The 12203-nt window shown below is 41.1% G+C and overlaps 1 long non-coding RNA gene across 1 annotated transcript in view, besides 1 other annotated feature; it reads left to right on the top strand.

Moving 5' to 3' along the window:
- Nucleotides 1-12203, top strand: part of LOC105369477 (uncharacterized) — a 74968-nt gene that overhangs the window by 24323 nt on the left and 38442 nt on the right. The gene's annotated exons all lie outside the window — the stretch shown is intronic.
- Nucleotides 817-1564: an enhancer, noted in NCBI's record as "NANOG hESC enhancer chr11:107143023-107143770 (GRCh37/hg19 assembly coordinates)". NCBI's record gives its function as "activates a minimal SCP1, AML or CMV promoter by ChIP-STARR-seq in naive H9 embryonic stem cells {active_cell/tissue: H9 hESC(naive)}" and the evidence as "EXISTENCE:reporter gene assay evidence [ECO:0000049][PMID:30033119]".

Raw genomic sequence — 12203 nt, 5'->3', positions numbered from 1 at the left:
AACCCAACTGGAAATCTGTTATGAAACTTCAGCAGAATGAGCTGTGTCAGTGTGGAGTCCAATTTAATCATTACCTCATTTGTCTCATGCTAAGTCTTTGCTTCCACTTTTCTTCATACTTAGACAATCAGTGTCTTAACTTTATAGTTTTAAATGAGCTCCCTCTAGACACACATCAAACACTTGAAATAATGTACGTTATGTAAAAGAAATGGTCCAAAGTGAACACCCAGTGAAAATGTGAATTAAGACTAATCTAATCTTAACCTTCCAAAATAAGATGACTCTACATCTCTAGAAAGACTTTTATTCTTCTTTTTCTCCTCACCTCTTATTCTCACCCAGATAAAATAAATCCTATAAATTTATAGCCCATATTGCTATCAAAGTTTATTAACATGATGATATGACAAAGGAAAATTCCAACACAACAAATTTAAATACTATACTCTGGGCACATAAATATTATGGTGGCCAGCAGAAGCACAAAAGCTGCAATGCTGTTTTGGTTTAGAAGGCTCGGTTTGAGACTAACCCTTCAGAAAAATGGGGCACTGTTATCATAATTTTTTTTTTTTGAGATGGAGTCTCGCTCTTGTTGCCCAGGCAGGAGTGCAGTGGCGTAATCTCGGCTCACTGCAACGTCCGCCTCCCGGGTTCAAGCGATTCTGGTTACTCAGCCTCCCAAGTAGCTGGGATTATAGGTGCCCGCGACCACACCTGGCTGATATTTGTATTTTTAGTAGAGACGGGGTTTCACCATGTTGGCCAGGCTGGTCTCGAACTCCTTACCTCAGGTGATCCACCCACCTCAGCCTCCTAAAGTGCTGGGATTACAGGCGTTAGCCCCCGCACCCGGCCCATAATTGTTAACGTTTAGCAAGCACTTCCTCTGTGCCATGTTCTATGCTAAATATTTTTATGCATTATCTTGTAGAGAGCCAGCAAAGGGATCATGACCAACTCAGCATTCCACTGGCAGCTATATGATCAAACAGCAAACTGTTTATCATGAATGCAGGATGTGAACAAAGTCACACTGCACCTGCCGCCAGAAGGTTTGCTGAGGGCCATCACTCCCTGGCGCCGGGCTTCTTGAAGTTATCTAATGGGAAATGTAGTGCCTATTGTTTGAAGGATGCAGTCTCACAAGCCTGCTGTGAACCAAATGGCCGAGTGACAATTACCTGACAATCACCTCCCCTTTCTCGTTATCTCTTTTACCTAATAAATTTGGAAGGCTGAAAAAGCTCAGGGCCCTTGTCCACTAGAGGCAAGGTGCCCCTTTACCCCTTCTTCCAAATATACTCTTTTGTCTTTGTCTTTTATTCCCGCGTTCATCTTCCTTTGTTCAGTCCACCAGGGATTGTGGTCAGTTACACTATCTCACTTAATTTTCACCATCACTTAACTAGGTAGATACTCTGAATGCCCCTGTTATTATTAACACCCTTATTCTACACTTGAAGGAGCTGAGGCTTTGAGAGGATAAGCAATTCAAGTCACACAAAGGCTGCATGTTGTCCAGTTCCAGAGGGTACAATCATATCATCGACTAGGAGATAGCACCCCTTGGAGGTGAGGAGTCCACACTTGGCACAGTTAACACAATCGTCCTGTGGGTGACATGCAGTGCTAACATTCAGGTTCAGATCCTTGTGACTCTAGACACCAGGTGCTCTCTGTGCTATATATAAAAGAAGTTGGAGGCCCTGTTGTAAGGAACGAACACAATTCCTAATTCTAGAGGACAGAAAAGTAAGTCCTGTTAACAGCCTTCAACGTGGAATCTGTAGAGAACTTGTATTATCTCAGGATCTTCTCATTTGAAAATGAAAATGGTCACACCCACCCTTTTCTTATGATGCAAATCACTGGTCAGTATTTTCATTTTCCAGCAGTCTTCAAAGCTGTAATCCAGAAGGACAATAATCTAGATGTAATTACTATATTAAGCATAAATCAGGTTTGTCATGAACTCAAAGGATAAATTCCCTTTGAGTTCATGACAAACCTGATTTATGCTTAATTCTATATTATTATTAAGGGACAAAGTCTAAAGAATCTCCTATGTTTGTGTTTCTAACAATGAAAATGCAATGGTTTTAAATTTACACATTTCATTTCAGCATATTTGTTTGGAGACTCTTGAACCTTAAGTTGACTGGAAGCATACAGTGAATGTGTTCTTATAATTTATTCCATTCCATTTCCTGGTTAGCTATCTAAATTTTTGGCCTTTGGACTTTCACATTAAACACAATAGTCTACACAATGCCGTAACAGCGTTCATCGCCTTTCAAAGCTAAGAATAGACAATAAATAGTCTGGCGTTTTAATTAGACCCTTGCCTTCGTGTGCATTTCAGCTCCATTCTAGCAAAGCTGAATTATAGATGAGCGTTTGATGCGACTTCAAATATCCCCATTTCTTCAATTGTATCACAATAGACAAAACAGAAATGCAGGATGAGAGCAGTTTTGTTCATTTCTTTTCTTAAATCATATCTTGCTATTTTTTCCTTACAGCTATTTCAATTCAATAAATGTTTCCTATTCTTCCAGCAGTGCAATGATGCTTTTCAGTAGAGTACCTGTCCTCTTAATACATAGTTATTTTCTAAAATGTTGCTATTAGAAAATGAGATAATGAGTCCAATTTTCCCAGTCTCTCTGTCTCTCTCTCGTGTCTCTCACACCTGACAGATGGGTGCTCATGGTGCTGTACCTGGGCTGCCCTCCTAGGAACCTGGGACCAGCTGACATAACCCCCTCTCAGAACATGGAGCTGAATAGGAGAATTCACAGCCAGCTGCCTTGGACTAACCTACATCAAACCTGGGCAGATTATCCAATTGGATTATTGGTTCAAGAAGGCTAGACAGAGAGATGAGGATCTAGGAGGGAGATAATAGGTTGAATAAACCCGGGAGATTAGGTGAATGCTTGATCATTTGAAGCAAATGGCAGGGGTCAGATCTAGAAATTACTGAAGCCTTGTTGTGATGCACGTTATATTACAAATACAGGCAAGACTTGATTTTCCTACCCTCAGAAAAGGTCAGATAATGAGATAACTGCAGTCTGGGGTGACATGTTAGAATAAAGGTGTGCACAAGCTATTGTGAAGGAAATTAAATTACCTAAGGAAGATGGGAGCAGGAGGAAGGTCAGGGGCTGTTTAATAAGAAAGGATACATGGGAGCTGAGTCCTGATGGATGAATAATCTTTTCAATCAGCAGGAAAGAAGGGAAAACATTCCAGAGAGGAGCAACCCAGTGCAAAATCACCAAGTTTTCATATAGCAAATGGAGATGACAAGGATTTGGGGGTGGCTGTAAATAAGGTGACAATGAAGGAGATCCAAGAACTGATACTGGCAAGGTGGGAAGGACCCAGTACATAAAGGGACATCTGTTTTATATTCAAAAGTTAGGATTTTATCTGTGTGTAGTGGGAATCATTAAAGATCTAAAGGTAGGGAAGAGAGATAAATTGTTGCTTAGAAAGCCCACATTGACACCCATGTGGAGGATGCCACAGAAGGACCTGACATTAGAGAAGGGAGGTTAGTTTATAGGCATTTGCAATGCTGTCAAGAGATGAAAAAGATCTGGACCAAGATAGTGGCAATAGTAGGTAAGAGACACATTTGAGAAATATTTTGGAGATAGAATTTTGAAAACAGGTCAAGGTTGAGTCCCAGATTTTGGATGGGTGAAGGGAACACAGGAAGAGAAGTGGTTTGAAGTGTGGTCAGGAGGGATGAACCAAATGAATTGGTTTTAGAGTTTTTGAATTTTCAGAGCTCTAAGGAGTTCTGGAGGATATTTCCAAGAGCAGAATGGACCTCAGGAGAGGGGTGATCCTGTAGATAAATAGGAGCATCAACTCACGGTAAGTAGTTGAAACCATAGCCTGGATGAGATAATGGAAGAGATGGTGATAGTGAAAAAAAATAAAGGCCAAGGACAAAGCCATGGAGAACACTATTATTAAAGAGGAGAATGGAGAGGATGCTGTTATGAAAGTCAATCGCGGTGGAAGTTTTAAAACAGTGACATTTAACACTGTCAAAAGAATCTGAGATTAATTGAAAGGTTGAAAAGCATTTGAGAATTTGTTAGATTTGACAGCAGTGGTCTTAGCATTTCAGTGGAGGGTCAGTTTTGGGTTGGGGAGTAAATGAAAGGTCAAGAAGTCAAGATTGTGACTACTCAATTTTTCTAGAGGCTTGACTATGAAGAGAAAACATGATTTATAATAGCTGGATGAGATAGGCAGGTCACGTATTATCTTCATTTAACAGATGATAAAACTGAAGCTCCGAGAGGTTGTAATTTTCCCAAGGTCGACCACTGGTCAGTAACAGAACAAAAACTAAGTCTCTGGTCTTCAGATTCCCAATTCAGTTCTCTTCTACTTGTCCACTGAATATTTGACAGATCCCCTAGTGCAGGGTATAGGATCACAATCAGACAGTATACATGTGACTATGGTATATTTCACCCAATGGTTAAAGTATTAAAGTGGGGGTAGGGGAGGGGAAGAATTGTTTTTCCTCTTGGTCTGAACTTGTGAAATGCACACAGGAAAAGTTCATTTTAAGCCTCATTTGGCATGTTTTCTTGGCTGGGTGTGAATATTCCCAGCAGCCAAGTCCTGTTTTCTTCCTTTGCTTTATCCCTGACAGCCTTGTGCTCCTACTGTGATTTCAATTCATGACCCGAACAAGAATGATGAAAAGTAAATTGCATTCTCATGTATATTGCTATTAGAGGCTAATTACGTAGCTGTCTGAAATCCTTTGTCACTTGGACAATATGCATTGACGGAACCTTATTTCCTTGATTTAAAAAAATGCATTTTATTTGGTGTTTTCTTTAGAGATTAAAGCAACTGTTCTTGCAATGATGCACTGGCTGTTGGAGTCAGAACAGCCATCCGCACTAATGAGGATTACATAAACGTCCCTTGCTCTCATGTAAAGATAAACCTCACATCCAGGCGTGAGGAAACTAGGTCTTGTTCCTAACTCAGATACTACAGACTTAGGTCAACAATGCTGGCCTTCTTCACCAAAGACATAGAATCTTTGAATTAGATGCAGTGCTTTGCAGTGCTTGGAGACAAAGTTCACCAGAAAGATGGTATTGATCTTAGAAAAGATTAAGCTAGGCTGGACGTGATGGCTTATGCCTGTAATGCCAGCACTTTGGGAGGCCAAGGCGGGTGGATCACCTGAGGTCAGGAGTTTGAGACCAGCCTGACCAACATGGTGAAACCCCATCTCTACTAAAAATACAAAATTAGCTGGGTGTGGTGGTGCGTGCCTGTAATCCCAGCTACTTGAAAGGCTGAGGCAGGAGAATCACTTGAACCGGGGAGGCGGAGGTTGCAGTGAGCTGAGATCACGTCACTGCACTCCAGCCTGGGCAACAAGAGAGAAACCCTGTCTCAAAAAAAAAATAAAATAAAAAAGAAAAGATTAAGCTAAAGAGTACATTCACGGCTGGGCGTGGTGGCTCATGCCTGTAATCCCAGCACTTTGGGAGGCCGAGGTGGGCGGATCACCTGAGGTCAGGAGTTCGAGACTAGCCTCAACATGGAGAAACCCTGTCTCTACTAAAAATACAAAATTAGCCAGGCGTGGTGGTGCATGCCTGTAATCCCAGCTACTTGGGAGGCTGAGGCAGGAGAATTGCTTGGGAATACCAGCTACTTGGGAGGCTGAGGTTGCGGTGAGCCAAGATCATGCCATTGCACTCCAGCCTGGGCAACAAGAGCGAAACTCCGTCTCAAAAAAAAAAAAAAAAAAAAAAGTGTGCATTCACATATCTTATGAATTAGCCTGGCTCCCAAATGGACTTTTTGTCATAAATACTCAAACACAAATCTTTATTTCTCAGGCAACCCATTTGCCTTGTCTTGTGAGAAGTAGCCAATTAAAAATGGGCATTTTAGGCCGGGCACAGTGGCTCACTCCTGTAATCCCAGCACTTTGGGAGGCCAAGGCAGGTGGATCACCTGAGGTCAGGTGTTCGAGACCAGCCTGTCCCAAATAGTGAAACTCCATCTCTACTAAAAGTACAAAAAAAACTAGCTGAGCATGGTGGCAGGTGCCTGTAATCCCAGCTACTTGGGAGGCTGAGGCAGAAGAATCACTTGAACCTGGGAGGTGGAGGTTGCAGTGAGCTGAGATCGAGCCATTGTACTCCAGCCTGGACAACAAGAGTGAAACTCCATCTCAAAAAAAAAAGACAGGACTTTTTTTGGAACAGATGCTAACCTTCTTAAGGGTAAGAACCTGTCATACTTTTTTTGGTAATGATTAAAATTATTAATAAATTATATACAATTAAAACAATTATCAAATTCATATGCACACATATTACACATATTTATATGTAATAATTGTAATCCTATAGATTAACAAATGAGTTAATATTTATTATTTGTTTTGCATATTGTCATGCCCAGTAAATAATTTCTGATTGGTTTCATTCCATTTGAGATTCATTAGTAAAATAACTGCAATTTGTAAGTTGAACTAATTACCACTCAATCAAAGAAGCAGTACTGACAAGCGTCAGAGAAATCTGCCTTAAGGAGTCTTTGGCTGAAGAGCTATGTTGAATATATGACTAGAAAAAACAACACAAAGATGAGCGTTTTACTTCAATATTTTTTATGGTTTTTTTTTTTTTTTGCCTGTCAGTTGGATTTACTATCCGGTTATGGCTGATCACAGTGGGAGACATAGGTGCAAATAAAATAGATATTTATGAGCTTTGTTTATTTTATGAGGTTATTAAATTCTTTTATAAAATAAGAACTTAGCAGTGCTAAGATTTTTTTTCTTTCATTCTACATCCTGAAGTTCAGTCCTAGCCTGTGTCATCCAGTCGTTTCCCAGCATCCCTGTATATTAGGAGGAAATAAATCTAATATTTAAAAACTCTAAGTGGCATTCAGGAGAGTTTTGAATTTTTAATGTGAACATACATTTTCTTGAGCCAGAAGCCCTTCATCACTTCTCAGCTTTGTGGAAAATATTCCCATCTTCAGTGTCACCAGCCAACCTCCTGGCCTGATCCCGGCTCTGGCTGAACCAAGAGAACTTGTGTTCAGATGGCTAAGGAAGCAAGATTCCAAGGTGGAGTGGAGGCAGTGTGGCTGCCCATGAGGTAAAAGCACCCCAGAGTTCTTCCCAACTTCAGAGCTGTCTTAAAGCTGTGCTCAAAATCTTCATAAGCTGCAAGTGCAGACGAGGAATACTAATTTGCCAAATATGTTCGGAGACTTTATTGCACAACATGGCTCAAATCCTGATTTCCATTGATTGCCAGGAAGTGTAGAAAAGCTGTATCTTTGGAGCAATGGCAAATTTTGCCATCTGTAAAAGTGAATGATATTTCTATTTTAATGAATAAATTTGAAGACAATATTTGAATCCTCATTTCGTCAATAGAGTGCAAGCCTAGCCCTGTACCCGACATAAAATGCGTGCTTAATGCTTGTCAATGGAATAAAGGGAGCTGTACCTTGCTCACTGCATTTCCTACTTTCTCTACTGTATTTTTAACTTGGAAAGAAATGAATGCACCTGCACATCATCTTCATAGCCTGTGCTGCTCTTTATCCTAATTTATTTTTTGGAGGCTCAAACTAGTCAAAAAGCATCAAAGGAGAAAAGTAATAGGTTTACCTCTTTCTCCAGTCTCTATAATCCACTCAAAAACAATTTAGTTACATACAGCAAAGATAGGAATCTGTAACACTGAGCCTTCATGTATAGCCCTTTATCTTCTACATTCTCTAAGGAAAATTCTCTCAGGCAAATTATATGAAAATCCTGAAGGACTTGTGGACACCTGGTAGCTAAGATCAAGTGAAACAGAAAGTAAAATGATTCTTCACTCTTGGAATGAACTGTCAAGTCTCCTTTCCAAATATAATAGGCTGTTAAATGGGACATATGCTGTTTCCTTCAAATTCCAGCTAAAGCCTCAAAGCTAAGGATGATAGAGGCAATGTACCCACACTTTCTAAAAAGAGATGCCAGACTCATCCACGCAGGGCCTGCAGAAAGATAGTGGAAAGGTACCCATCATTCACCTCCAGTCTGTGTAGGAGGCAACTAGAATGTCAAAAGACATTTTGATACTTGATAAAGGTTGAATAAATGTATTAGAAGAAAAAGAATGATATAAGGTAACAGAGGGTGAGAATAATATCACTACAAAATAAGAGTATACAGTTATAGAAAGAAAGGTTTCCAGTGGAAAAAAAAATTATACACCGTGAGAATCCTGTTGAATTACATGAAATTTTATACAATTTTTAATTTTGTAATTTTTGTAAATCCTTATAAATGGATCTTATCTATTCCCTAATGTTCCCAACACAAGTATGTAATGTACCTGACATGGAAACTCAGATGTGTGTATGTGAACATGTATGTATGTAAGTTCTGTGTTTATTGGGCTTTATTTTCTACACATTATGGCCTCACCAACCACTTCTTCCTCCACCACCACATTTCTCAGTCAAGAAAAGGAAGAGTATTGGAATGTAATATTCTTAACATTTGCAGTGTTTCTGGAATTGTTGAGAAAACTACTTATAGCCCATAGAAACTATTGTATAGGAATGTCATGTGAGAATATTTCTGTTGTCCCAGGATTTCAAAGTTAGGAAAAGAAGTGTCCACATACACCAATATTCTAGGTCCAGAGAACTGCCAAAATTGGCAGCAGCCATTTATCCACATAGCTGACTGAAAATATTCTAGTTCAGAGAATTGGCCTAACATGGCCTCTCTGCTCCTCCATCTGCCTTTGCTTTTCTCCCACTCCTCATACTTAATATAAGGATGGATCTAGGACAGGGGAGGCTGCCTTTGGTAAGTGAGATGCAGTGCATCTGACAGACTGACTCTATTTTCTCCCATCAAGACCTTCCTGTGTAGAGGACAATAGGGAGTGCCATCTTTTCCTGCAGGGAAGGGAGAAAGGCCCCAGGAGGAGGAACCCTTTGTAAAGATGAGAGAGAAGGCTGGAAGAAAGAGAGACCTGTGTGTTAGTCTCCAGTTGAGTCCTTGCCTAAATAGTGGGCCTGTTAATCTGCCTGTGTTACCACAGCAGGAATAAAGAGAACCCAGAAGGTTATTGCCAGGGTGAGGGGACTGACAGGCAAAAGAGGTCAGAATTTCTTCTCTACCTCGAGGTGCAGAGGATGAATCCCACATGGGACGATGGGTCCCAAAATGTCACAGCTCATAAATGGCTGCCGGGGTCTAGGGGGTGCTGCTGAGGAGCAGGCCCCCCATTAGCAGGGCAGGTTTGAATGGCCACCAGCCCACAGGAATCCCACAGAAAGCGCTCTAAAGAAGTGGCCCTGAACACCCAACAAGGGAGCTGAGGCCTCCCTCAGTTGGGGAAGGAGACATCTGTTTTCTCTCTTCCTCTTTCCCACCTGACAGGGAGTAGAAGGGGTTATGTGAGAGCCAGGCATGTCCCATCCTCCACCACAAGCTGCTAGAACCACAATCATGAGGTGAGCCTGAGATGGGGCTGGAGAGGGAATGGAGTAGGGGAAGTGCTTTGACTCATATATGATATTGAACTTTAAAAATGAACAGAACTGATTCTTAGACATTTTTGGGACATCTAAACTAAGACATTTTTGAAAACCAAAAGTGACTAAAATGTTATGCAGCCTACTCAAGAGGAAGGATGGGTTTGGCCTAGTATTATTGGGTAGTAGCTATTAGGGAAAAAAATGTGTTTTTCTCCCCCCTAATCTCAACAGTTGAGACTCTTCAACACACTGATTGCACCATTTGACACTCGATTCCTTTGGAAAGCAGCCTGAATCTTGGAGAAAACCAGTTTTTTTTTTTTTTTTTTCTTCCCTAGCTGGTTTTAAAAACAATTCCTAATGGGTGACAAGATCTGCTTTTCTGGTGACAGTCCTTAAAAGTTGCTCATTAGCAGTTGATATTTAATGTGAGTGCTTCCTAATGTAACTTCATTTAGGTTATTTTTATTTAATGAACCCTGGAAAGCTGTAATGAAGCTACACACCCCTGTTGTTTTCATGCAGTTCCTGGAGCAGAGAAATTGTACAGACCCCTGAGCACAGCAAAGGTGTGAGAAAGGCATGAGTAAAGTTGGGTTGCAGCAGGTGGAGACTGTCCTCTTCAACATCAGTACAGGAAAAAAATAGCAGTTTCAGAAATGATGACTTTATGTGAACTAAAGTTAAGCAGATGTAAGCTGGAGTGGGAGGATGAGTTCCACAGTCAGAGAGTAGTGATTTGATCTCTTCTTTTCTCCCTCTCCTGTCTCCCCTCCTAGCCTGTCCAGATCCCATTTATTTTCTTTATTAAGGCTATCTCTTCTTATTTATTCAAACTGTCATCCCTCAACTAAAATCCATATTTTTTTCTCCTGCTTAAATGAATTGTGAGTGTAACAGGTAGCCTATTCAAGGAGAAATTAAACAGTGTGCCCGTTGAGAAACATTCTTTAAATGTCCACAGTGAACATCACAGGTCACTCAAAATAGGTCTTATACCGAAAAGTGTCATATGGCAGCCTCACCTTAGTTCTGCAACATTAAGTCAATTAGATCATGTTGAGAGTCTCTTTTAGTTCTGTGTTTGTAAGGAGCTGGTCATCTTGTCTTAGGAGATGAGTGTAAGAAGTCCTTACTGAATTTGATTGGCTGAAGAGAATGACTTAGCCCTGAAGAGGTAAGACAGACAGTGACTCTGGGCACTGCAGTTAGGGTCACTTCAACCCGGACACGGTGGCTAGCATTACAGTGCCTGGTTTTTCCCCAGGATGTGACTGTGAGGGTAAGCTGTGAACCCAAGCAAGAACCTCACCATAGATATGCAGAGTCCAAACCTGGCATCATTGTGGGAGGAAGCCCATGGAACTGTGCAGGCTCTTCTTTGAGCTCAACTGAGAAGGATATGAGCAGAAAGTAGCTTTATTCTTGCACACTATTGCCTTTAGGCAAGCTCTATTGACACCTTCTTCCCTACTTCTGCATGAAGTCCTGGGTAGATCACATGGTTTTATCAAGTCATTTCAGCTACCAATGAATACTGCCATTTTTCTGGTAATAAAAGTGTAGACCAGTCTCATATATAAAATTTAGTCTCTCATCCAATCCAAAGTTTCTCCCCTTCCCCAAGTGAATCCAATCCAGGCTGGGAAAGCTGCAGTGGAAAAAACATCATGATCATGCTTTAATTACGTCCTTCCCCATCCTCAATCCCCTAAGTCTCCTCTGGCTTTACCAGAGTTAGCAAACAAATAAAACACACCAAAAAACAAAAACAAAAACAAAAACAAAAAAAAAAAAAAACACCTGACTTGTGACCTGATATCTCTGGAGGGTGTCAGATGTCCCAAAGCTAATCTTTTTCTCATGAAGCAGTTCTGTGGGATTGTCAGAGAATCCCATTACTGGAGGTCTCTTTCCCACTGTTTCCTGGTACAGGTGCATCCCCCTATGAAGGGGGTCTGACTTTTTGAAGTCTGTCCTGCATAGACTGCTTTTTGGGGGTCACCTAGTCCTCCTGATGGCCCTTTTGGCTGGGATTTTCTTTTCTTTTCTTTTCTTTTTTTTTGAGATGGAGTCTCGCTCTGTCACCAGGCTGGAGTGCAGTGGCACGATTTCGTCTCACTGCAACCTTCACCTCCTGGGTTCAAGCGATTCTCCTGCCTCAGCCTCCTGAGTAGCTGGGACTACAGGCGCCCACCACCGCATCCAGCTAATTTTTGTATTGTTAGTAGAGATGAGGTTTCACCAAGTTGGCCAGGCTGGTCTCAAACTCCTGACCTCAGGTGATCCGCCCACCTCAGCCTCCCAAAGTGCTAGGATTACAGGCGTGAGCTTGGGACTGGGTGCAGTGGCTCACACCTGTTCACTTTACAAACTTAAAAAAAAAAAATCTGTTCCAAGCGTTGGGAATATAGCAGTCAGAAAAACAGTCACAGAAACTTACAGCCTAGTGGGAAGACATCATTACAAATGATCACACAAATAAATTTTCAGCAGGTGCAAATCTTAGTCCATAAGCTCAACATTTAAAAACTTTTATTTAAGTCAGCTTAGATTTGTATTAGAGTTGTCATCTTGACCCACACTGAAAAATTCTATCTCAGCAATTCTTGTCTGCTCTC

Source organism: Homo sapiens, chromosome 11 (assembly GCF_000001405.40).
Source record: "Homo sapiens chromosome 11, GRCh38.p14 Primary Assembly".
In the NCBI taxonomy this organism is placed as follows: Eukaryota; Metazoa; Chordata; class Mammalia; order Primates; family Hominidae; genus Homo; species Homo sapiens.
Note: the sequence above shows the minus strand (reverse complement) of the source record. Positions and strands in the feature narration are given on the sequence as shown.